This window comes from Homo sapiens, chromosome 10 (genome assembly GCF_000001405.40).
Source record: "Homo sapiens chromosome 10, GRCh38.p14 Primary Assembly".
NCBI lineage: Eukaryota > Metazoa > Chordata > Mammalia > Primates > Hominidae > Homo > Homo sapiens.
In genome coordinates, this window is record NC_000010.11 from 407,150 (window position 1) to 434,733 (window position 27,584).

A 27,584-nucleotide genomic window follows, 5' to 3' on the forward strand; every position below is an offset into this window, starting at 1 on the left:
TCTAGACAAATCGGCTCTGGCCAGGCAGCGGGCAAGGTGAACTGTTGGGTAGTTACGCTCGCAGGAACGGAATCACGCAATACCTGTTTTGTGTCTGGCTTACTTTACTAGGCATAGTATCTGCAAGGTTCATCCATGTGTTATGTGTCAGAACTTCCTCCCTTCTAATGGGAAATCCACATCTAGTCCGTGGATTTGGGGTTGCTTCCACCATTTGGTTGTGTGAGTCGGCTGCTATGAGCCTGAGTGTACTCATCTCTCTCCTAGACTCTGTTTTCAATCCTTTTGGGTACACACCCCGAAGCAGAACTGCTGGATCACACAGTAATTCCATGTTTAATTCTTTGAGGGACTGTCACGTTTTTCGGAGAGGCTGCACCATTTTACACTGTCACCAGCAATGCGCAAGGGTTCCGACTTCCCCACATCCTTGCCAACACGTGCCCTTTTCAGTAGTTTAGTAATTGCCGTGCTTCTCGGTGTAAAGCAGCATTTCACTGAGGTTTTGCTTTGCTTTTCCCTGATCAAGGATGCTGAGCATCTTTTCATGTGTTTATCGGCCACTGCTAAATCTTTGGAGAAACGTTTACTCAAGTCTCTGGCCCATTTAAACGTTTTTGTTGTTGTTGCTTTTTTTGGTGGTGGTGACTTGTAGGAATTCTTTAAATATTTTAGATATTAATCTCTGTTGGCAAATAATTTGCATTTTCTCCCATTCTGTAGGTGGCCTTTTCACTCTCTTGATAGTACTCTTTGATATACAAACATGTTTAATGTAAATGTCCAATTTATTTATTTTCCTTTTGTTGCCTGTGGTTCGGGTGCCACATCCAAGAAACTGTTGCCAAATCCAGGGTCATGAGGTGTCTTCTCTATATTTTCTTCTAAGGCATTTTCTTTATGTTTTCTTCTAGGTTTTGGCTTTAGCTCTTACATTTAGGCGTTTGGTCCATTTTGAATGAATTTTTTGCATATGATGTTAGGTAAACATCCGCCTTCATTCTCTTGCAGGTGGATGTCCAGTTTTCCCAGCACTGTGTGTTGGAAAGGCTGTCCTTTCCCCGTTGAGTATCTTGGCACCTGTGGAAATCACTTATCCATATACATGAGGGTTTATCTCTGGGCCCTTTATTCTGTTCCACTGGTGTATGTGTCTGTCTCTAAGCCAGTACCACATTGTTGTGATTATTATAAGCTTTGTAGTAAATTTTACGATCAGGAAATATGACACCTACAATTTACTTTTAAAAGAGGCCAAACGTGTTCAATAAAAAATGGGAAAGAATCCCAGGCCACGGTCTCCTGGAGCTGCTGCAATCTGTTGAACATGCCCACAGCAGACTCATGCCTTTATAGTATTGCTTAAGTAATCAAAGCTCATGCTCTTGTTGGTTTATGGAGCTCTAAATGATGTCTTTATGTAATTCACTTGGAGTCCTTTAGGTAGGATAACCTAATCTTGGGGGCATCTAAAGCACATAGGTAAAAAGGCTCTACACATAAATGCAAGAAAACCAGCTTCTATACCAAGCTCCACATCTAAACTGGGGCATAAAGCATGGACAAGACCATTACCTGCTCAGGATGTAATGTTAGAATGGAGACACCATTAATAGTATCTGTCCTGTGTAACTTACCAGGTAGCAGTTAAGAATAAAAACTTGCTTTCCAATAGAAAGTGGAGGTGGCGCTGAACTCTGTAATGTTTAAACAGTGGGCACCTTTTCCCACAGGACTCTTGTGTTTTGTAGATCCAGCAGTTTAAGTTGCACTTACCCTATCTCCAGGCCGGACCATGGGTTCCTGCTTTGTGCCTAATTTGTGTAGAATGCTGTAAGCGACCTTCATACTTCTTGTCCACAGCTTGCCTATGAATACAAATCACAGACAAATGTGCGTATTAAACCATACGGAGAGCACAGCTTCTGCAAGTCAAAGTCTAGGACATGAGTCCATTCTGCTTCCTGCGTATCATGGTCTGCAAGCGACTTGAAGTGGGGGCAGCTGAGCAAAGGGGGAACTGGTAGGCAAGAATGGAAAATGAGTGAAAGTAGAAAAGCATCAGGGATTCTAAAGACAAAACTTCAGGAGAGAGAATGAAAATAAAAAAGCTAAAACCAAGTGTTGGCCTGTCTTCTGATCTGTCTGTGATGTGGGGGTGGCGAGGGGGGGCGCGGACAGTGCACACACCGTCGTCACAGGGCTGGGATCTGCCCAGCTGAAATGACACCATCAGGGAGCGGGAGGGCCCTGAGAACCTTCTCCTAGCAGATCAAAGCTTCAAACTCATCCTGAGTCCCTGGAGTCAAGAGGAGTAAAAGCAATGACTCCAACAGTCAGAGCTGCCTGGACACTGGAACAAGGCCGGCACAAAACAAATCCCCTCTTAGTGCATGAAGTGCCTGCAGCAAGGTCAGCACAGAAACCGCGGGGAAGGTTGTAGGGAGGAAAGTCCTCTGGGGCCACCGCAACGGTGTCACTGCCACAAAGTCACTCCCGGTGACGTCCCTCATCCACAGCCGGTCTCACGTGAATGTGAGCAACACAGAGCAGAAAACTGCCTCGAGAGGCTCCAAACTCACAAGCCCTGTGTTTCTCACCTTCAAACTTTCCTAACCTCAGGGTTTTAGGGTTTTTAATCACAATCCTTGGATTCAGATAAAGATAATGGTAAATGTAACAGTCTGAGATCAAATAACAATGACTTTAAAGCCTAAAATGAGTTCTTAAATACACAATGGCCTTTTACAACCTAGTCTCAGAGGCTTCAGCTGCCAGAGCGTCTCAGTAGTCAAGGTGTTAGAAGACGTGATAATGCTGTAATAGTGTAATAAAGGTAACAGCTATCTTAACTGTTTTCTATTTCAGTACCATCACTGTTTTAATCTTTTCCCTCTTTTAAATCCAAACACTAAATCAGATTTTGTCGTTTACAACACAGTGCAAATTAAAACACCCTGAATTAATTTCATATCAGAATGAGAGTTCCTTAGATTAGTGTTATTATTATTTATCTACCACAGTATTTATCCCCTTGCTAATGAGAACGTGAAGAGAATGATTATCTTTGATTGTTCTGGTTCCTAGGACACTTCCCGGTCATACTACGTGCTCAGCAAATGTTTCTTCATTTTACTGATGTCGCAGGCAAGCTGTAATAAAATACAAAGTTACGGTGTGCATTCTAGCATATTCTTGAGCACTTAATTGCTAGACACACATTTATTCATGTTCCCTCCTCCTGTCTTCCTTAGCTCCTCATCCTCAACACCATAGGCAGTCTTCAAGACGGGCAGCTTTACAGTCATCTGGAATTCTATTAGGGGATTTTATTTTCCTGGAAAAGATCACTGGCTCATTAGATATAATTCAGGGAGTATTTTTTCCCCAACAAAAACAATTATTTTGTGGCTTCAGATTTCTTTAATGTGAACAAGATTAGGGAACTATTATAGTTGGGTAAAACAATTACAATCAATTCTTTGCAACTGAAAGAAAAACAATGTGTTGTAACTGAATAAATCAATTACACTCAATTAGCACCATTCTAGTTTGTGAAAGTTTCAACTTCATTCTCAGCTAAGAGTCTTGACATCCTAAGTTCATACACAAGCTAGTTAACAATAGAGAGTTTGATAAAACACATGCAAACTTTTGGAAAAATTCTTGAAATATATTTGGTATTTTTATACTTCTCAAAGAGAAAAGGCAGGAAGTTAAGCTGCTGATATAAAGATACAGCAGTTCTTAACTGATTCATAAAGGAGATGTGTGTGATGTCAGCACTATTGTATTAGATATTAATTGTAATTTCGCTTGGCTTTGACTGAGGAACAGGCAACTGAACAGAGTGTAACTGGTGAGGGGAGAGGCGGTGGGTGGCGAAGGGCTGAACCGGAGCAAGCCCGGGAAGGAGGCGGGAGCTTGAGAGAGACACCATCAACCACGCAAAAAAGCAGCAAGGCCACAGAAAGGTGGCCCAGCGTGCTGCTAGCTCAAGCATGTAGATTTCTTGAAACATCTGGAGTAAAAGGAAAACCATAAATAAAACGTTAAAAGGGAGATGAGCATGAGCATCTCCTTGGTAGGAAAGCCAGATGAACGTATAGGTCTCTCCAGAAATCCACAGAGGAGGCAGAGGAAGAGCGTACCAGAGAGCTGCTGTGAGGCAGGACGTGAAGGGAAATTAACAGCACAGCGTGACTTATTTTTATTAAGATTATGAAATGCCACGGGTAGTCTAAAGTGGAAAACAGAATGATGTTTTACAAGTTTATTCAGTTGTGGCTTTCATTAGCCACCTACACTTTCTGTTACTGATCCCAAGTTTATCCGCTGGGAATTCTGCTACCCCAGCGCTTCGTAGGAAGCTAAATTTGGGGGTTGAGGGGAAACGGCAGGACTTTAGAGAATACAGCCCCTTCAGTTACACCAAGTTACTCAGTATTAGAACAATTCTCATTCGATACCAAATTACTCAGTATTAGAACAATTCTCATTCGATACCAAATTACTCAGTATTTGAACAATTCTCATTCGATACCAAATTACTCAGTATTAGAACAATTCTCATTCGATACCAAATCACTCAGTATTAGAACAATTCTCATTCGACGAGCTTGTTTCTGACTCATCGTAGCAACACCCAGTCATGCGTTCATCTACGTTAGCGTTTCTACGCAGATGGCGCTTTCCAGTGTTCACTGCGTTTTCATCTGATAAGCTGTAATCTTAAATTTGGAAATGTGTTGCTTTCTTACATTCCTTTAACAAGTAAAAACCAAGATCAACCCACAGCCTGCAATTAAAATGGATAATTAAAATACAACATATAGATGATTAAAATACAACATATAAAGGAGTTAAAATGCTTTGGTTGTGGGCATGAGTTCTGAAGAATCCAACTTTTCATATGAATATTCAGTCTGTGTCTTACGTCTCCCATTCATCTTAACCTTGCAGGAAGGGGAAAGACACCAACCCTGTTCAAAGTTCCAGCAGCAGAGAGTGGCGATCCTTCTGATCGACATCAGAAGCCCCGTGAGAACTGTGTCTTATTGTCTTTGATTTCCCAAAGCTTAGTTCTGTGCCAATGCATACTGCATGCTTAAAACACCCAAGTGAACGTCTATTAGTTCTCAGAGTGAACACATGCACCCGAACAGTTCGGCTGCTCCTGGAATTCCCCGCATGTAGGCGGGGAGGCCTCAGAGGCCATCAGCTGTCATGCAGCAGCGACTCCAAGTACACAATTAGCTCCAGGGCTGAATTTGGCCGGAGATGAGGGTCACATAGAAAAGTCTTTCATGCTTTTGACTCAATAAAACCTATTTCTGAGAGCATAATTAAAAAAATAAAGTTTATGCTTCATCATGGATGCCACACACTGTCCATTTAAAACTACTCAATGAAGCCATAAAAGCAAAGGGGCTACGAAACGCACGCTCCCAAACCCAATATGCTCCTAGGCCCAAATCCCACATCTGTCCTGAGATGCACAGGTTGACAGCTGCTGCCTCCCAGAGCCCCACCCTGAAAGGCTAGGGTCTGAGGTTCCACGGTTCAACATAGCATCTGGCTTTTGACCTCCATGGCTAATGTAGAAATCAATTCCTTTCCTACCTGCAATCAGAAAAGTGTTGTAACAACAAAAGCTAAAGTTAAAAACAAAACCTGCCAACTGACAACAGGCGGAACTATGTACTGTACTATCCCAAGAGTCTAGAACTGAAACAGCTATGTTTAAAATTTCAGCTATCAACATAAATCTCAGACATGCAGACACAATATGAACCATTTTGGTCCTTCAGTTATTTTCGTATCTTTTGAAAATTCTAACTGATTAATTTTTTAGAGATGGGGTCTTGCTCTGTCACTGAGGCTGGAGTGCTGTGACACAATCATAGCTCAATGCAGCCTCGACCTCCTCCTCCTGCCTCAGCTCCCAAGCAGCTGGGACTACAGGCATGAGCCATCATGCCAGCCTTTTAGTTACTACTTTCTTTGTAAAGCTGAAGCAGACAGAAAATAGCCTGACAATCTGCCCCTCCATGGCCTCTTATCCACAGAAAAAAGAGAAACGCACTTCTCTGCTACCGTTAACCATGTGCAAAAAGCTTACAGACTGTATTAATTGTACTGAAGACTTAAGGGAAAGGCGGTTTCTCTGGCCTTCTGAAAAAGTCCCTTGGAAACCGATTTTGATTTTTCTGAGTGATACATACCAGAAAGTTTAGATAGACATTTTTTCTAACTACCAATCTTTGCTGAAAGCATGCATTTCAATAAATCACACATGTATTTAAGATCTAACATCTTATTAGAGCTATGGTCACTGCTTCAAGCAGCCATTTCTGGTTTTAACTCAAAAAATATTTAACAAATAACTTTTTATATTGAAATCAAATAGTTTTCCTAAAGAGTTTCTTGAGATTCCATTTATTTCTGTGCGGAAACATAAGGCAGCACAAAATCAATCAGTCACCAGAAGTAACAGACACTGAGCTTTGTGTGTTTGGGAGTGGCTGCGCGAGGGGGTGGGCAAAGGGCAGAGGGTAAACCTCCGGATTACCTTAAGTGAGGATTTAAACAGACACTGAGCTTCGTGCGTTCGGGAGTGGCTGCGCGAGGGCGTGGGCAAAGGGCAGAGGGTTAGCCTCGGGATTACCTTAAGTGAGGATGTAAACGGACACTGAGTTTCCTGCGTTCGGGAGTGGCTGTGCGAGGGGGTGGGCAAAGGGCAGAGAGTGAGCCTGGGGATTACCGTAAGTGAGGATGTAGAGGGGCTTCCCGTTGGTGTCCATGGTGGTCAGGCAGGGCGCCTTGGGCGAGATGGTGCCCCACCTCTGCAGTGCGGCCTCCAGCGACGGCGGCCAGTTCGTGACCACGCCCAGCTGCTCTCCGCGCATGGCCAGCATCTGGGCCCCCTCCGGCTTTGGTTGGTTCGGATCCGGTTGTTGAACTAAATCGTTTGAATACAAGAGGTTACAAGAGAAATGCATCCACATTAGCATGGCTACTTTTTATTCTTTATAAAGAAGCCAAGAGATTTATACTTAAGCTGTACATTTATTAGCTGACAGAAAAGCATGCTTTTCTAGAATTGGGGTCTATACACTAGCATCACGGATGCTGGTAAAAAATTAGTTCTTGTAATTTCCAAGGCAGCATGTGGGTAGAGCGCTTAGGTGGACCTGCACACAGCTGCAAACTGATAACAGGTGGAAACTGCGCTGCACACTGTGCCCAGAGGCTGGAATTCAAACAGCCATGCTGAAATTTCCATTACCAACATCAGCTAGTGATTTTGGACCCCAAATTGCTTAAATCTTGCTAAATTATATTTTGTCCTGAAAGATTAATGATAAATATATTTTCTGAGGCAGGGTCTCTCTCTTTTGCCTTGGCTGGAGTGCAGTGGCATGATCACAGTTCCCTGCAGCCTCGACCTCCCAGGCTCAGGTTATCCTCCCACTTCAGCCTCTGCTACAGTCCTAGCCTGTAGCTAGGACTACAGGCATGCACCACCACGCCCAGCTAATTTTAGAGTGTGTATGTATGTGTGTGTGTGTGTGTGTGTGTGTGTGTGTGTACATATATATATATATAATGTGTATATATATAATGTGTATATATATATAAAATGTATATATATTTTGTAGAGACAGGTTTGGGCAATATATATATACACACACATATATATTTGTGTGTGTGTGTGTGTGTGTGTGTGTGTGTGTGTGTGTATATATATATATATATTTTTTTTTTTTTTTGGTAGAGACAGGGTTTTGCCATATTGCCCAGGCTGGTCTCGAACTCCCAGGCTCAAGTGATCTGCCTACTTTGACCTCCAACAGTGCTGGAATTATAGGCATGAGCCACCGCACCTGGCCTGAGCTGTACATTTAAATCTGCTACAAGTACTCTGAATAACAGGAACACGGAGTGAGTATTTTCCTGAGTAAAACTAAAATCAGTGCATCATAAATACCACCTGCCCAATCCTTGAGAGAGGTGAAGAATGGAAATTATCTCTTCCATTTCTGGAACAGACTTGTCTGTCACTTTATGACTGACAAAATCAGTCGTTTCTACTTGTGGTTTAACACATAAGATACTAAGGAGCTCAAGTTTGCTACAATGAGCAGTTCTTGTGCTTTATTTCAACTTTAAGTTGTTTGTCTAAAAAGACCCAGGAGCATTCAGGGGCAAAGGCAGCAGCTCCGGCACCTATAAGGAGAGGCAGCAGGAGGAGGGAGGAGACAGCACTTCACACGCCAGTTTTGCTGCCAGCGAAGGATTTCCCCAGTTTACTTGTTTTTCTACATGTTTATACTTTACTTGTATTTCTATACTCTTACAGAGTTCTTAGAGAGAGACCTGACCTGGGTCACAGAACAAAATCAACTCCCACAGAGGACGACTAACAACCAGGTTTAGAGACCTGCCGACACCAAGGCTGCCTGGGAACATCACCCGCTCCCTACCTGGGTTCCCATCATGCGGCAAATGCCACGATTACTGCTCTTAAAAAGTAAAATAGCCTTGCAGAAAAAAATATCATTGTTTACGGGACCATAGGAGCATCTGGAAGAAACGTGTGGTAAAGAGTTCTCTCACCTTCTAATAATTCTTCAAAGTCATCGACAAAGAATTCTCGTAAAGGTGGTCGTTTCGGTCGTTTGAGGGTATTGACAAGCTGCTGGATTTTTGCTGACACCCGGCTACTTACTGGTACTCCTGAAAAACAGGAATCAGCGGGTGGGGAAAGCGATCATCACAGCTTCAATGAGCACCCACAGTCCCACAGTCCCACAGCCCCCTCCCCAGCGCGGCTACAACAGGCTGCATCCTAGATGCGATCCTGGGAAGGGCCCGAGGTGATCATGCTGTACGGTAGCCCCGTGGCTAGGCAGGAGACCGGACAGAGATACATCGGACCCGAATGTCTACCACGTTCCAGGATGTGCTGTTCTGCTGGTCATGCTGGGAGGAGCCTCAGGGCCACACCTGCTTGACCCCAGCTCTGATTCTCAGGACAGAATTGTCACCTGCAGAGGGCAGACTCCTCATTCCCACTGCCCCAGGCCCCCTCTTCTCAACAGGGTGAGACCATCCGTGGAGCAGTAAGTCCTTCCCTGCGTCTATCTCTCCAGAGACCACCAGCATTCAGCCTCACACCAGCATTCAGCCTCATGGAGGCACGAGAACATCGGGCCGCTGAGTCACGTCTGGAACCCCCAGCATCCCACAGCCCCGGGCTCAGGTTTCAGCACCACCACGCCCAAGCCCTGTCCACTCCTAATAAAGACTGAGCTCCTCACACGCGTTCCAAACCCACGCAGCTCAGCCCACACACAGGCAATGCATCCTAAAGCACAGAAGTTAAAGTCTCTAAATTCAAATTTTTGTGTAACAGAATACTAGCCCCTACCTATCCAAGTGGACCGAGAAAAGCCCCATTTTAAAATACTGTGCTAATTATAATGAATGCTGCACCATTCTGAAAATCAACTGGTTTGATCAATGAAAGAGTCAAGGTTTTCAAATTTTAAGATAAATAAATCAAATGAACAAGACAGAGGACCAAGACGCTGATGCCACAACTAGATCAAAAGCGTCCTCCTCAGGCACACGCTGCAGGCCGGCAGGACCTGGGAAACCATCACCCAGAGCTGTGGGCTTGGACGGTGCAGGGGTCTCTGTAGGTGCAGCTGGCAGTCCATTCCCCTCACCTGAGGCAGAGCCCTTGTTCGCCCCCGCACTGGACCATAAAAAACAGACTTCAACATTTGCGGGGAATAGAACAGAATTCAAGGAAATTTTTTCTATCAAGATTTTTTAATAGGTAGTCTCAAAATGCTCTATAGCACTTTAAGAATTGAGACATTAAATATTTCATATCTCTGAAAATACAGAAAAACACACAATCCAGAACTCTCAATATCCACACATAGTATGTTCCCATTAAATAGCCCAACTAATTTGGTTCAGATGAATCATACCATTCCACCAGGCCAACGATTCTCAAGCTTAATTTGGCAGATGTCAGAATTGCCTCAGGGACCCCCGAACTTCTAGCTCATGACGTCTGGGGTGTGACCCAGAATCACCCTCCCAGCAAGGGCCCCTGTGGGATTCTGGTGTGGGAGGCTATGACACGCCGAGACAGCACAACACACCACGCAGGATTTACCTGGGGAACAAAGGCAAAGGTACAGACTTGAAAGACGACAAAGTTACTAAAATGACAAGAATAACAAAAATGGCCAATTTAGTAAAGACGAACTCATCAGAGAACTAAAGCAAATAATGACACCAAAAGGCATTCCAGGAAAAGTCATCGCACTGGCAATCAGGGCGATTTCAAGCGCACTAACTGGACACTTACGAAGGCACAGTTGGGCTCTGCCTCACGTGAGGATGTGGCAGTGCGCCTGTTGGAGCTAGGATAGGCATCCCTGTCTGCCTGCGCCTGTCAGGGCTCGGATAGGCCTCCCTGTCCACCTGTTCCTGTCAGGGCTCGGATAGGCCTCCCTGTCCGCCTGTGCCTGTCGGCTCAAATAGGCCTCCCTGTCTGCCTGCGCCTGTCAGGGCTCGGATAGGCATCCCTGTCCACCTGCACCTGTCAGGGCTCGGATAGGCCTCCCTGTCCACCTGTTCCTGTCAGGGCGCGGACAGGCCTCCCTGTCCACCTGCACCTGTCAGAGCTCGGACAGGCCTCCCTGTCCACCTGCACCTGTCAGGGCTCGGATAGGCCTCCCTGTCCACCTGTTCCTGTCAGGGCTTCGATAGGCCTCCCTGTCCACCTGCACCTGTCAGGGCTCGGATAGGCCTCCCTGTCCACCTGCACCTGTCAGGGCGCGGACAGGCCTCCCTGTCCACCTGTTCCTGTCAGGGCTTCGATAGGCCTCCCTGTTCACTGCACCTGTCAGGCCTCAGATAGGCATCCCCGTCCACCTGTCGGAGCTCGGATAGGCCTCCCTGTCCACCTGCACCTGTCAGAGCTCGGACAGGCCTCCCTGTCCACCTGCACCTGTCAGGGCGCGGACAGGCCTCCCTGTCCACCTGTTCCTGTCAGGGCTTCGATAGGCCTCCCTGTTCACTGCACCTGTCAGGCCTCAGATAGGCATCCCCGTCCACCTGTCGGAGCTCGGATAGGCCTCCCTGTCCACTGTGCCTGTCGGGGCTCTGATAGGCCTCCCTGTCCGCCTGTGAGTCCCGTGCACCGCAAGATGACAGCATACCAAGGCTGCTCCATGCAGCTTCACACAAGGGCATTGTATTTCACCGCTAGGTTCTACCCTGACTTTTATGACCTCGGGAAGGACTGAGACCTAAATGGAATAGGGGCTGAGTGACACGAACAGCCGCTGTAGTCAGAATATACCAAGACTGGGCCACAAAGAAGGAAGGAAGAAGCCCTCGGCCACAGCCTGTTACCAAGTCACCGATATCTCTGTCCAACGTGGATAAAAAGACCCTCTTTCCTCCAAAGTCTAAAGCAACATATCAGCCCATCTGACAGTAATTCTGTTGTACATTTAACTTCATCTTGCTCTTCTAAGTGACTGTTCATGGTCTTAACACACCTGTACAAGAATTTCTCAGTTGCTGAACCACCGTTATTCAGCAGCAAAAACGGCAGCAAATTCTAAAATTTCTTTTTCTTCTCATGACTAAATTCCTACAACATTTACATTTTTCCTACAAGGAATAACTGTGGGCTCACTTGGAGAATATTTGCATTTTTGTGGCTAGGCCACCTTCCATGAGAGGCTCCCGAAGATCTGATAAATTGGCTTTGTCAGAACCGATTGTACCCCAGGAAGAAACACATCCAGTCATGGGCACGGAACGGGACGTCAGCACAAACCGTTTACCAGAAAAAAACGCATCTCTCCTTTGGGACGTACCATCCCCGGTCTCCATGAGCTCGGCGTTGCCGTACTTGGGCGCTGTCCGGGACCCCGTGGAACCCTGCGGTCTCTCCACCTGTATCGAGTGCTCTGAGGTGTACGTGGTTACGTCAGGAGGTGCAGAATGATTTTCTGTAAAGAAACACATCATGAGATTTTCTGGTGGTTGTGATGTTTGCTCTGAAGGTGGAACAAGCCACAGCCCAGGAAGAGACTGAAGCACAGGTGCTCACCCTGGGTGTGCCATGGAAAGCCAGAGCCGATCTCAGCCGCATCTGCCACACACATCCAGCACAAAGGGGGACCCCAGCATAACTCATGTTGCCGCAAATGGAGCAGAGTTCGGTAAAACCTCAGACGTAATTTCCTAACGGGAGCCATGTCAGCAGCATTTTAACTAGAATAACGTTAGACTGGCAATGGCAGGGCGTCAGGAACCCTGTGTGTGTTCACGGAGGGGTCCTGTTTCCTGTCTGCCACAGTCGACGCAGCCAAAGGCCTGGAATTGGAAACCCGGCTCTGGAAACTTCTGGGGATTTTGGGATGTCCCTTAAGCTCTCCGTGCCTCAGTTTCTTCGTCAAATGGGAACAGTAATGGCCATGACCGTGTAGGGTAGTTGGGTGGATTATGTGAGTTAACACGTATACAGTTCATAGGATCTTCTTCATAAAAGGGGGAGACATCAAGAACTATTATTTTATTATTTCTCTTAGTACAAACAACAACAGTCATTCAAAAAACCACGTTACACCCTAATGTGTACTAAGGATCGTGTAAGGCCAATGAGCGCGTGGAGCTCTTTCTCTTACAGCACCCCCTGGAGATAAAGTTAAGCCGTACGTGGCTGAATGGGGAAAAGCATGCTTTTCTATTTAATGAATAACGCATTGAGGAAGATGTGCCAAGCAGCCCACTGATGACGCCCGTCACACCCAGAATCTTGATGACGGGCGCCACGATGCGGATCGCGATCCTGAATCCTCCTCTGATGGAAGCTTTTCAGGATCACCCCGCCACTGTCCCACGCAACAGAAGGGCGGTACTTTGTGTCGCTGAAAGTGGGGCTCATCCCCAAAAGCCTCTCTTCACCGGACGCTGCCCATGTCCGCACCGTGCCCGGAGGCCGTCTAGACGGCGAAATCAACTGAACGCACAAAAACAGGACACAGAAGATCGAGGCACAGAAGAGGCCGTGACAGGACGCTGCTTTGTGATCTGAGAATCGGGCCGGGTGGGCGGTGCCGAGCTGCCTGGACACGGCGTCGGCCCCTCCTGACGGTGTCAGTCCGGTGTCACAAGTAGATTCGGCAATGCCGTTCACTGGGAACCCGTGACTGAAAAGACAAGAACTAAGGGGAGGGCCCGCCACACCGCCCGTCAGTGCCACGACATTCCACCTGGAGGCAGGCAGGCCCGACTTCCTGCAGAACCAACACACACCCCCTCAAGTCCTCAGCGGACTTGGATGGTAGCGTCTGGGAGGCCTCCTCTCAGCTCCGAGGTGTGAAAACGCTGGACACAGCTTGTAGATGGACAGCGGGTAGAGCAGTGGAAAAAGAAAACTAGAATGGGATTTCCTATCTTATGCCAAATTGGCTTGACTCTTAAGATACATGTGAGATGTCCCTACTTAATTGCCGGCATAATTAAATTGGTGGAAAAAATCCACAAAGGACTTGAGATTTTGCTTCAACAGCAAGTAGAAGCGTGGCCAGCTCTGAGAGACTCCGTGACCTGAGTCTGCAGCCCTGGGCTTTTCTCCCCTCGGACACAAGCAGCCTCTGCAGCCTCCACTTCTGTCCCTTGCCGGAGGGATCGGCCAGTGTGACTCAGCCATCTGTTGTGCTTGGACTCCTTAGGACACTCACGCGCACGCAGACGCACGATCACACACGCTACTTTCCTGTTTGTAGGCTTCTGATTATCTCACAAGGTCAAGTGCAAATCTGACTTTTTACTTCTTTTGTTTTGCCACAGAAAATATTTTTCCTTTTCTGATTAAGTTTCATTATTTTGCCACTGCTTTTTTTCCAAAAAAATTTCAAAGTTACAGAAAATTTCCAGATAGTCTAGGAAGATTATCTTTGTGCCTAATTAGAAATTACCGGAATGTGGTCACCCGAGAGTTACATTTGGGTCACACTGAGCCTTGATGTACATGAGTTATGAGCCCCTCATAGTTTGGATACATTCTTTGTACTAAAACTTCCTCCAGTACTGCAAGGGTAAACCCGCAAAGGGAGGCCAAGTGCCGTGATTCACTTGTTCAAAAATATGTGTTTTCCTTGGTAAGATTCTGCCCATTTCCTTAAAATTGAATAAAATCCGAGGATACAAATGCTTCCCCCAAGTGGCAGAGATGGTGTTTGGCCTCCCCGTTCAGGTGCCCGATAAAGCTGGCAGAGCCTCAGCCACTATCCTGGGATCCAATATACACATGGAATTTTATTACAAAAAAAAATAACAGTCACACATTCCTGTTCATTGTTTAACGTACTGTGATTTCAAGTACAGGTTATTAATTCACATAAACCAGTGTACATGTTCCTGAAACTGTGTTAAACTGAAGTTTAATACTGCTTTGCATTTGAGTATTACTTTACAAACTTTTACAGAGTATTTCTATTTTCTCCTTTATACTCACAACAGTTCTGAGAGAGAAAAAAGAAATGGTTTTTTTCATTTTTTTCCTCACCAAAAGCCTAAAAGCAGGAGAACTGACTTCAAGATCCCAGCAGCAGTTATTGGGAAAAGTGAGACAGACCCAGCTCTCCTGCCAGCAAACTCCTGTTCCAGACAGAAAACGGCCGACGCTTTAAGTCTCAGTGAGCGACCAAGGGGCTGAGACCCAAGTCAATCCAAAACGCCTCTGAGCGTAAAGGAGTCAGTGATCTAGAAGTGAACATTCTGGGGTTCTGGGGTGTCTGTGGGCTATTTAATCACAATGACGTGCACCTGCTTCCCACTGATGATTTTTTCAGGGATCAGGTTTTCCTGCGGCAGCTGAGATACCGGGAGGGTCTGAGCCCGTGGCTCGAGCTCCGTTATCGGCGACGTGGTAAGCAGTCGTCTCCGGTTACTGCTTTAATGGAGACACACACAAAACCCTATTCAACCCAAGTCCCGTACTTGATGAAAAACATTTACTACTGAACCGTTCAAAGGCAGAGCGACGTGAGGCCCATCACCGCTCCCCACGTGCCAGCTCTTCCTCTAATAATTCTCACTTTACTCCTTTTCCACAGCATGTTCAAACGTCATAGGGCAGTGATCCTAACTTTGTGCTTTTTCTCATACAGAGTATCTCCCTGTCATAGAACCTACACAAAGCAGTGTGCCGGCCCCCAAGAAGTCTGAACACCTGTGGCAGACAGCAGCGTCAAGCAGCTGTGGTTAAAGCCCTCGTTTCCTTAAATGACTCCCACGGTCAGGACGAGCACATTTAAAACCCTGTCCTGTTGATTGGGACTGTTAAGGTTTCATGTAGGAGCATAAGTGAGAAGAAAAGATGGGAGCGGATACGGCTGCAGGATTCCCCAGGAACAAGGCCCCTGGAATTGCAGCTGTGGGAGGGACCTGGGCATGAGAAGTGTAAAGCAGCTTCCAGAAACAATCCAGCCAAAGCACCCCAGGGGCCAGAGGAGCTCTGTGCTCTTTCCACCGAGGGATTCCGCTGCAACGATGCAAACAGAGAATGTGCACACACAAAGGCGTTTACACAACAGGCACAGAAAGACACCGTGAAGCGTGCTCACCTATGTGGGTCTGAGCCATGACGTCCGCCAGCCTGTGGGCAGCCCCGCTGCCCCCGCTCTGCGTAGAGGACGAGGAGGTGGTGGACGTGGTGGAGCCGTGGATGGCCTGGCTGATCCAGTGCTCCATATTGATGCTGCCCTGGCTGGAGGTGGGGGTGCCCTGGGAGTCCCCCTGCACTGAGCCTTCATCTTCTGAGCCAGAAGAGGTATCTGTGTAAGAAGAAAGGTGATTTGCTGTATGTTGCAGCAAAAACGTGCACCACAATCTCAGTCCCTCGCCAAACACAGATTTACTTCACGTAAGTCTCAATAGTTGTTCAATGACTTTTTGATACACTCTTGAGAAGTTAAACCACGTTTCAGATAATAAACCATTTATTTTAGCATAATGAGTTTTTCATCCAACACACCTTATATAAACATGCTATAAGATGTTTGACACTGTCATCTCAGACAAATACACACTGACCCATTTCCTCTACACAGCAGTTTGGGAAGAAACCAAGTGTTTGCTTGTGTCACCCACAAAGTGAGAGAACAAGGGCCGCGTTTCCTAGGGGATGCTGAGGGCCTGTGCGGCTCTCAGGAGTCTCAGTGTGACGTATGTTTAGCCCTTGTTAGTCCTGAGATGTTCTTGTGGGCTCTGATTTTTCTACTACATCGGTGTGTTAGATACCCATGCAGCTGATTTCTATGTCGGTGTGTGTGTTAGACACCCATGCAGCTGATTTATTTCTATGTCAGTGTGTTAGATAACCATGCAGCTGATTTATTTCTACATCAGTGTGTTAGATACCCATGCAGCTGATTTATTTCTACATTGGTGTGTTAGATACCGATGCACCTGATTTGTGCGTTGGTGTGTTAGATAACCATGCAGCTGATTTATTTCTACGTCGGTGTGTGTGTGTTAGATACCCATACAGTTCCTTAAGGATCAAGACACTGATGATGGTAACAGGAGAGAAAGCAGAACGTGCCTCACGCGGAGCAGCCCCTCCACCTCCCCGTTTTCCTCCGGGGCACACGACAAACCTTCATCACGTCACATTTTACACTCAAATCAATTCACCTTTACAGTATTTGTTTCTTATACATTCTCATTATTGATTTTTCTATCTGTGCAGATTGGATATCTTGGATTATAACAAAATACATCAATTTTTTCACTATAATTTATGAGAATATTTTTCATTTAATAACTTTTCATGCAGTACCAAGGTTTTTGGGAATAAATTGTTGGTGTATTTGTTATTTAAACTTCAATTTAAGAATGACACTCAGAATCCTACCTCCAGGTGAGTTATGAGAGACGCCAGCTCAGGTGAGCAGCTCCAGCCATCGGGTGAGAGGAGAAGTCACGGCAAATAATCTTAAGACACGGGTTTGTTTTTTAAAAGATAATAATTGCAAACAATATACACACTTATTATCACTGTCACATGACTTATGCTGTCTGGGAATTTTTTTAAAAGTTTACTTGTTAGAAAAGCAACAATGTTAAGAGCCTGAAAATTCTCTATCACCTTGGGTTTTTTTTTTTTTTTTTTTTTTTTTTTTGAGACAGAGTCTTCCTCTGTTGCCCAGGCTGGAGAGCAGTGGCGCGATCTCAGCTCACAATAACCTCTCACTCCCTGGTTCAAGAGATTCTCCTGCCTCAGCCTCCCAGGTAGCTGAGATTACAGGCACCTACCACTATGACCGGCTAATTTTTGTATTTTTAGTAGAGATGGGGTTTCACCATGCTGGCCAGGCTGGTCTCGAACTCCTGACCTCGTGATTTACCTGCCTCAGCCTCCCAAAGTGCTGAGATTACAGGCCTGAGCCACCGCTCCTGGCCCACTCTGCCTTTTAAGAAAACTTACACAATTTCTATAAAAGTAAAATTGACACAGCCTTGAGACTTTTGAGAAAGGTACACACCCAGGTGTCCAGAAGGAGCACAACCATCTCCCCAGAATGTCTTCTCACAACTCTTTACAATCTTTCATTCCCCACTCCCACCTACCTCTTCCAAGAAACCTGAAGGATAATATGATATAGACACTCAACATAATAGCAGCAAACCAAACAAACAGCATATGACACGGATGATACAGCATAACCAACGGTGACTAATATGACACAGATGATACAGCATGACCAGCAGTGACTAATACGACACGGATGATACAGCATGACCAGCGGTGACTAATACGACACGGATGATACAGCATGACCAGCGGTGACTAATATGACACGGATGATACAGCATGACCAGCGGTGACTAATATGACACGGATGATACAGCATGACCAGCAGTGACTAATATGACACGGATGATACAGCATGACCAGCAGTGACTAATATGACACGGATGATACAGCATGACCAGCGGTGACTAATATGACACGGATGATACAGCATGACCAGCGGTGACTAATATGACACGGATGATACAGCATGACCAGCGGTGACTAATATGACACGGATGATACAGCATGACCAGCGGTGACTAATGTGACACGGATGATACAGCATGACCAGCGGTGACTAATATGACACGGATGATACGGCATGACCAGCGGTGACTAATATGACACGGATGATACGGCATGACCAGCAGTGACTAATATGACACGGATGATACAGCATGACCAGTGGTGACTAATGTGAAATGGATACAGCATGACCAGCGGTGACTAATATGACACAGATGATACAGCATGACCAGTGGTGACTAATATGACACGGATGATACAGCATGACCAGCAGTGACTAATATGAAATGGATGCAGCATGACCAGCGGTGACTAATATGACATGGATGATACAGCATGACCAGTGGTGACTAATATGACACGGATGATACAGCATGACCAGCGGTGACTAGAAGTAAATACCAGAGCGACAGGAATTCAGGTTAACATTCAAAAGTGAATTAATGTCATACACCATATAGAATTATGGGAGTAGAACCGCATGTTAACCTTAGGAGACATAGAAAAGTACTGACAAACTCAAGATAAACTCAACAAAATCAGGAATAGAAGGCAATTTCCTCAACCTGTTAAAGCACATTCATGAAAAGCCATGGCTAATAGTGTATTTAATGGTAAACAATAGAAGGCGTTTTCCCTAAGATGGAGAACAAGACAAAGATGTCCCCTCTTGCCACTTTTATTTGACATTATCTGGCAGGTTCTAGCTAGTGAAATAAATTAACAAATTTAATAATAAAGACATCCAGATTAGAAAAGAAGGAATAAAAGTGCCTTTATTCATAGATGACATGACCTTGGATGTAGAAAACGGCAAGAAGTCCATCAAAAATGTTTTGCATTACTAAAAAATGAGTTTGATGAGGTCACAGGACACAAGATATACATATACTAGCAATAAACAACCTGAGAATAAAGTTAAGAAAATAGTTCCATTCACAGTAACATCAAAAACATAAAACACTCAGCCAAACTTCTAACAAAAAGGTACAAAATGTGTACACTGACAACTATAAAACATTACTGAAATTAAAGGAGATCCAAATAAATGGAAACTAAATAAATGGAGATAGATTCATGATTGTGAATTGGAAAACTCAGTATTATCAAGAGAGCAATTCTTCCCAAACTGTTCCATTAATTCAAGGCACTGCCTAATAAAATCCCAGAAGGCTTTGTGTGTGTGAAATTGAAAGCTTATTCTCAATTTTATCTGGAAATACAAAGGACCTACAATAGCCAAAATAATTTTGAAAAAGGAAAACAAAGTTGGAGGACTTCACTATCTGATTTCAAAACTTTACATAAAGTCACAGTAATTAAGGCAGTAGTATTAGCAGAAGAATAGATGTATACATCAAAGGAACAGAATTAAACCCAGAAATAAAGTCTTATATTTACGGTCAATTTATTTTTGACAAACGTCTCAAGACAATTCAGTAAGAGAAAGGTAGTATTTTTTTCAACAAATGTTGCTGTGGCAACTGGGTACCCAACACACCAAAAAGAAAAAGCATGGGGGAAAAAATCCCCCAAACCAAACCACAACAAACAAACAAAAATCCCACTTAGATCCCTACTGCACAGATAAAAATTAACTCAAAATGGATCACAGACCTAAATGAAAGAACAGTAAGACTATGAGACTTCTAAAACTTCCAAAAAATCCATAAAAATTAGTAAACTGGACTTCATTAAAATAGAAAACTACTAAGTTTTAAAAGATGATTATCTGCCTCTAGCTAATGTAATAAATTACCTTGATCTTCGTGGCTTATAACAACACACGTATCTATTATCCTACAGATGGAGAAGTCAGAAGTGTAAAATCTGAGTGTCAGCAGAGCTACGTTCCTTCTGGAGGCTTCAAAGGAGAATCCATTTCTTGGTCTTTCCCAACCTCTAGAGGCCACCTGTGTCCCTGACTTATGGCCCCTCCTCATCTTTAAAGTCCATCACTCCAGTCTCCAATTCTTCCTTTTCTCTTGTAAGGACGTTCTTGATTACAGTGGGTCCACCTGCTTAAACCAGGATAGTGGTCCCATATCAAGATCTCTATATTAATCATAGCTGCAAAATCCCTTTTACCACTTAAGGTAACAGGTTCAAAAGCTCTGGGGAGTAGGACCTGGGTATCTTGGGGGAGGGTCATTATTCTGTCTGCTACAGAACAGTTTGTCCTTTCACTGAGAAACCTTACACCTGTAAAAGTCGTTCAGATCGTATAAGGCACCTATAACCCATAAGATGACAACCAACCCATTTTAAAACATGGGCAAAAAATCTGGACATTTTACCAATTAACATATACAAATAGCTATGAATAGGAATTAGCACATTAAAAGCTAATAAGCACATTAAAAGATGCTTAGCATCATTAACTGTTACAAAGTAAATACACAATGATATACCATTTCACATCAATTAGAATGGCAAAAATAAAAATACCAAAATACCAACTGCTTCTCATGATGTGGAGAAACTGGGATGCTCATATACTGCTGGTGGCAGTATGTAAAATGGTACAGCTATTTTGTAAACAATTTGGCAGTTTTTAAAAAGCTAAACCTAAACTTACAATAAGAGTCAATCATTCTACTTGGCATCCTCCCAAGATAAAGGAAATTATACGTATACACAAAGATATGTACATAAACGTCGACAGCAGCATTATTCATAATTGCCGAATAGAGGAAAGAATGAATAACCAACTGGTAAATGAATAAACAGCATGTGTTAGATCCATCTAACAGAATATAATTCAACAATAAGAAGGAATAAACTACTGATGCATGGTACAGCACGGACTTCAAAACAGGTGAAGGTGTAGAGAAGCGTGGACATTTTATGATTTTATATCATAAAATTCTAAGATCATAAAAAACTAAAAACCATAAAATCATAAAGTGTTCTATGATTTTATATTCCAGAAAATTTGATTTCTAGGGTCCTTTCTTTTTCATAGAGCTAACCTTTCATCTGATAGCATTTGCAATCAGCCTAAAGTACATTCTTTAGCATGTTTATAGTGTAGTTCTGCTGATAACATATTCTCTCAGCTTTCATGTGTGTGAATGTGTCGTTTCATCCGTGTTTATAAAGGAGATTTTCACCGGATATGAGTTGACAGCCCTTTCTTCTCCTTTTAGTACTTTAAAAAATGTCTTTCCATGGTCTTCTGGTCTCCATTGTATCTTCACAGAAGTCATGCATTGTTCAAATGCTTCTCTGGAGTGTAACGTGTCTTTTTCTTCGGAGTCCTTTCAGGATCTCCTCTTAATCCTGCACTTTGACTATCATGAACCTGGATGTGATTCTTTTTATACTTGTTCTGCTTGGAGTTCACTGAACTTCTCGGGGCTGGACACAGGTGTTTGACATCAATCTGAGTAAATTTTGACTCATTTCTTCAAAGGCTCCTGCTCTTTTCTCTTTTCCTTCTTATATTACAAGGATATTAACATTGTGTCACAGGAGCTTGAGGTTCTGTTCGCATTTAATTTTGGTTTCTCTGGTCTTCACTTTGGTTAATTTCTTTTCATCCCTCTTCAAGCTCACAGACTTCATCTTCCTTCTCCAACCTGTTAAACCCACCAGCAAAATTTCTTCTATCATATTTTCCAGCTTTATAGTGATGTCTCACTTATCCTTTCCAACTCCACATGTGCACAGCGTCCCCTATCATCAACATTGCCTACCAGAGTGGTATACTTGTCACAACTGATGCTTCTACACTGAAACATCATTATCACCCAAACTCCATCGTTCACATCAGGGTTCATTCTTGGTGTCGTACAATATATGGGTCTGGACAAATGTATAACATGTATCCACCATCACAGTATCATACAGAGATCACATGCTACTAAAAAATCCTCCTGCTTTGCCTATTCATCCCTGCCTCCCCCCGGACCCTGGCTGCCTCCCCCCCGGACCCTGGCTGCCTCCCCCCCGGACCCTGGCTGCCTCCCCCCCGGACCCTGGCTGCCTCCCCCCCGGACCCTGGCTGCCTCCCCCCCGGACCCTGGCTGCCTCACCCCCGGACCCTGGCTGCCTCCCCCCCGGACCCTGGCTGCCTCCCCCCCGGACCCTGGCTGCCTCCCCCCCCGGACCCTGGCTGCCTCCCCCCGGACCCTGGCTGCCTCCCCCCGGACCCTGGCTGCCTCCCCCCGGACCCTGGCTGCCTCCCCCCGGACCCTGGCTGCCTCCCCCCGGACCCTGGCTGCCTCCCCCACAGACCCTGGCTGCCTCCCCCTGGACCCTGGCAACCACTGATCTTTTTACTGTCTCCATAGTCTTGCCTTTCCCAGGACGTCACATAGCTAAAATCATACAGCAACCTTTTCAGATTGCATATTGCTAAGTGAAAGAAGTCAATTTAAGTTTCCTCCATGTCTTTCTATGGAGAGCTCATTTATTTTCAGCATCCAATAATATCCCATTGTCTGTATGTACCACAGTTTACTTATACATTCACCTACTGAGGGGCATTTTGGTTGCTTCCAAGTTTTGGCAATTATGAATAAGGCTGCTCTAAATATCTATGTGTAGGCTTTGTATGTAGACGTAAGTTTTCAACTCCTTTGAGCAAATGCCAAGGAGTGTAATTCCTAGATCATATGGTAAAGAGTATATTTAGTTTTGTAAGAAACCACCAAGCTGTCTTCCTAAAGGCTGTTCTATTTTGCTTTAAGACCAGCAATGAATGAGAGAGAATTCCCGCAGCTCCACATCTTCATAGGCTGTGGTGTTGCTAGCATTCTGGATTCTGGGCATTCTAATAGGTGTATAGTGGTGTCTTACTGTTGTTTCAATCTGCATTTCTCTATGACATATGATGTGAAGCGTCATTTCATATGTCGATTTGCCATCTTTATATCTTCTTAGATGAGCCATCTGTTAGTCTTTGACCCATTTTTTACTTATTCATTTTTTAAAGACAGGATCTCAAAATGTTGCCGAGTCTGGAGCACAATTCCAAGGCGCAATCCCACTACTGATCAGCTTAGGAATTCTGACCTCCTCCATTTCCAACCTAAGCTAGTTCACCCCTCCCAGGAGGTCGCTGGGTTGACGCCGAACTTAGTGTCGACACCTGAGAGGCATAACTCACAACAACCCGGAGCTCCTGGACTCAAGTGATCCTCCCGCCTTAGCCTCCTGAGTAGCTGAGACTACAGGCACATGCCATCACACTTGGCTGGCCCCTATTTTAATCAGATTGATTGTTTTGTTATTGTTGACTTTTAAGAGTTCCTTGTATATTTCAAATAAAAGTTATCATTTATGTCTTTTGCAAACATCCTCTCCCTGTCTGTGGCTTGTATTTTAATTACTTTAAGAGTCTTTGACATAGCAGAACATGTTCATTTTTATTGGAGTCCAGCTTATCAATTATTTCACACCTTGCACCTTTGGTGTCATATCTAAAAACTTATCACCAAATCAAAGTCACTAGATTTTTACCTTATCTTCTAAGAATTCTATAGTTTTGTATTTTACATCTGTCATCTATTTTGACAGGCAGGAATATTTCACCACTATACTAATGAGGACAGTGGCTCTGTGATCTGTTTAATTTTTTTGAAAGATGTAAGGTCTGTGACTAGGTTTGGTGTTTTTCTTTGCATATGGATGTCCAGTTGTTCCAGTACCATCTGTTAAAAATATTGTGTTTGCTGCACTGTATTGCCTTTGTTCCTCTGTCAAAGTTTAGTTGACTATATTTTCTTACTGGGCTCTCTATTCTGTCCCATTGATCCTTTTGTTTGTTCTTTCACCAATACCACACTGTCTGGATTATCACTGATTTATAGTAAGTCTTGAAGTTGCATAGTGTCAGTCTTCAACTTTGTTCTTCTTTTTCAATATTGAAGTGGCTGTTCTGAGTCTTTCATCTCTCCAAATAAACTTTTGAATCAGTGTGTTGATATTGAAAAAAAAACTCGTTCGGATGTTGGTTGGGACTGCATTGGAAGGAAAACATCTTGACAATATTCAGTTTTCCTATCCATGAACGTGGACTACCTGTCCATTTAGTTTTTCTGTGAATGAGTTTTGTAGTTTTCCTCATAAGATCTTGAACATATTTTGTTAGATTTTATGCCTGAGTATTCCATTTTGGGGAGTGCTACTGGAAATTTTTTTTTAAATTATTATTTTTAGTACAGATGGGGTTTTGCCATGTTGGCCAGGCTGGTCTCGAACTCCTGACCTCAAGTGTTCTGCCTGCCTTGGCCTCCCAAATTGCTGGAATTATGGACATGAGCCACTTTTTTATTTCAAATTCTACTTGTTCTTTGCTGGTAAACAGGAAATTCGTTCAACTTTTGTATATTAAACTCAATTCTTTTGGATCTTCTACATAGGCAAACATGCCATCTATGAACAAAGTTTTATTTCTCTTCCCAATGAATATGTATTTATTTTTCTTGTCATAATTGCATTAGCTAGGACTTCTAGTACAATGTTGAAAAGAAGTGGTGAGAGGAGACATCCTTGTTTTTCCTGATCCCCTTTCCGGATCTTAGTGGGAAAAATTCTAGTTTCTCACAATTGGGTATGATGTTAACAATAGGTTTTTTGTCCATATTCTTTATCAAGTTGAGGAAGGTGACCTCTGTTCCTAGTTTGCTGGGAGCTTTTATTATGAGTGTTAGATTTTGTCAAATTCTTTTCCTTTTTCTTAGCCTGTTAACGTGATGAATTACGTTAATTGGTTTTCAAATGTTAAAGCAGCTTTGGATGCGTGAAACAAATTCCACTTGGTTTTGGTGCACAATTTTTTTTTTTTACACTGTTGGATTTAATTTGCTAATATTTTGTTGAAGGTTATTGCATCTGTGTTCATGAGAGATGTTTTCTTGTAATATTTTGTTCCAGTTTTGGTATTAAAATGATGCTTAGAATGAGTTAAGAAGTATTCCTCAGCTTTTATGTTCTGAAAGAGATTGTAGAGAATTGGCATAATTTCTTTTAGATGTTTGGTAGAATTCACCAATGAACCCAACTGGGCCTGGCACTTCCTGTTTTGAAAGGTTATCAACTACTGATTCAATTTAACAGATACAGGCCTATACAGATTGTTTCCTCCTGTTCAAATTTTGGCAGATTCTGTCTTTAAAGAAATTGGTCCATTTCATCCACGTTATCAAATTTGTGGCCATAGAGTTTTTCATAATATTTATTATCCTTTTAATGTCCATGGGACCTGTAGTTATGTCCCTTATTTCATTTCTGATATTGGTAATTTATCTGCTGTATTTCTTTTTCTTGTTAAAGGCTTATAGATTTTCTCTCAAAGAACCAGCTGTTGGTTTCGTTGATTTTCTCTACTGATTTTCTGTTTTCAATGTGTTGATTTCTGCTCTTTCATTATTTGTCTCCTGCTTACTTAGAATTTAATTTGCTGTTCTTTTTCTAGTTTTCTAAGGTGGGAGCTTATTGATTTCAGATCTTTTTTAACATATGCATTTAAAGCTATAAATTTCCCTATAAACATTACTTTCATTGCATCTCACAAATTTTAAAAAGTTTTCATTTTCATTTACTTCAAAACTTTAAAGAAATCTTCAGATTTCTTCCTTGAGCAATGCATTATTTTTAAGTGTATTGTTTAATTCCTAATATTTTCCAGTCATCTATTATTTATTTCTACTTCATTGTGGTTGAGAACATACTCGTTTAATTCCTATTCTTTTAAATTTGTTAAGGTGTGTTTTATGGACCAAAACGTGGTATATCATGGTGAATGTTCAGCATTCTGTTGTTGGAGGAAATAGTCTATAAATGTCAATTATATACAGTTGACTGAGGATGTTGTTGATTTCAATTTTGTCCTTACTGATTTTCTGGCTACTGAATTGGTCCATTTCTGATAAAGGGGTGTTAAAGTCTCCAACTATAATACTGGATTATTTCTCCTTGAAGTTTATCAGTTTTTGCTTTGGCATTTTGATGCTTTCTTAGGCAAAAATACATTTAAGGATTGTTTTATCTTCTTGGAGAAAATAATCATCTCTGGTAACTTCCCTTGATGTAAAGCCTGCTCTGTCAAATTAACATCACCACTTCCATTTTTTAAAATTAGTGTTGGCTGGGCAGTGGCTCATGCCTGTAATCCCAGCACTTTAGGAGGCCGAGGCAGGATGATCACCTGAGGTCAGGAGTTCAAGACTGGCTTGGCCAACATAGTGAAACCCCATCTCTACAAAAATAGGAAAAAAAAAATAGCCAGGCATGATGACAAATGCCTGTAGTCCCAGCTACTCGGGAGGCTGAGGCAGGAGAATCACTTGAATCTGGGAGGCGGAGGTTGCACTGAGATAAGATCGGGCTATTGCACTCCAGCCTGGGCCAAGGAGTAAGACTCCATCTCAAAAAAAATAAAATAAATAAATTAGTGTTAACATTTATATCTTTTTCTATCCCTTTACTCTTGATCTATATATATTTCTTTATATCTAAAGTAGATTTCTTATATAGACAATATATAGTTGGGTGCATTTAGACTGACATTGAAAGTGAGTAATGATATACAGTTGAATTAATATCTACCATATTTGTTACTATTTTCTATCTGTTGCCCTTTTGTCTTTTTTTTTCTTTCTTCTTGTGGTCTTAATTGAGCATTTTCTATTTTCTTTCCTTTCTTATCATATCAGTTACTTTTTTTTAAGTGGCTGCCTTGGGATTTGCAATATAAATTCACAAGTAACCCAAGCCCACTTTCAAATGACACTATACTGCTTTCTGGATAATGCAAGCACACTATAAAAACAAAATAATCCTAAATCCTAATTGCTCTCTCCCATCCCTTGTATCACTGCTGTCATTCATTTCACTTACATTTAACTGTGTGTATATGGTATATACATAAGCATATAATCAAATACACTGTCGCTATTATGAATGAACTGTTACATTAAATCTATTAAGAAAAATAAAAGTTTTTCTCCTACCTTCACTGTTCCTTCTTTGATGCTTTTTCTTAACAGTCAAGGTCTTGCTCTGTTGCCCAGGGTGGAGTAGAGTGGCATCATTATAGCTCACCGCAGCCTTGAAAAGGATCCTGGGCTCAAGTGACCCTCCCATCTTGGCCTCTCAAAGTAGCTGGGACTACAGGTGTCAGCCACCATGTTTGGCTTTTTTTAAGAGACAGAGTCTCACTACGTTGCCCAGGCTGGTCTCAAATAACCGGCCTCCAGCAATTCTCCCGCCTTGGCCTCCCAGAGTGTTAGGGTGACAGGTGTGAGCCCCTGTACACAGACTCTGCTCTTCCTTTCTTTATGCACAGCTGAGTTACTGACCTCTACTATTTTCTCTAAAGAACTATGAACACTTTTTGCAAGGCAGGTCTACTGGCAACAAATTTCTCAATTTTTCTCTGAGAAAGTCTTTACTTTTCCTTCACTTTTTGAAAGATAATTTC

At 43.3% G+C, this 27,584-nt stretch overlaps 1 protein-coding gene and 1 pseudogene across 7 annotated transcripts in view, besides 1 other annotated feature; both read right to left on the reverse strand.

The window, feature by feature from the left end:
- DIP2C (disco interacting protein 2 homolog C) overlaps positions 1 to 27,584 on the reverse strand; it is a 415,468-nt gene that overhangs the window by 132,949 nt on the left and 254,935 nt on the right. For all 7 annotated transcript variants that reach the window (NM_014974.3, XM_005252427.5, XM_005252426.4 and 4 more), the window contains 5 exons: positions 15,675 to 15,884; positions 11,916 to 12,050; positions 8,620 to 8,739; positions 6,764 to 6,961; positions 1,777 to 1,868 (listed from right to left, as the gene is read on the reverse strand). In NM_014974.3, the coding sequence (NP_055789.1) occupies positions 1,777 to 1,868; positions 6,764 to 6,961; positions 8,620 to 8,739; positions 11,916 to 12,050; positions 15,675 to 15,884 (755 nt within the window). The remainder of the gene's footprint in view (positions 1 to 1,776; positions 1,869 to 6,763; positions 6,962 to 8,619; positions 8,740 to 11,915; positions 12,051 to 15,674; positions 15,885 to 27,584) is intronic.
- Positions 8,373 to 9,572: an enhancer, noted in NCBI's record as "CDK7 strongly-dependent group 2 enhancer chr10:461462-462661 (GRCh37/hg19 assembly coordinates)". NCBI's record gives its function as "activates an origin of replication core promoter dependent on BRD2, BRD4, P300/CBP, MED14 and CDK7 cofactors, with strong dependence on CDK7, by STARR-seq in HCT116 cells {active_cell/tissue: HCT116}" and the evidence as "EXISTENCE:reporter gene assay evidence [ECO:0000049][PMID:35650434]".
- RN7SL754P (RNA, 7SL, cytoplasmic 754, pseudogene) lies at positions 23,090 to 23,355 on the reverse strand (annotated as a pseudogene).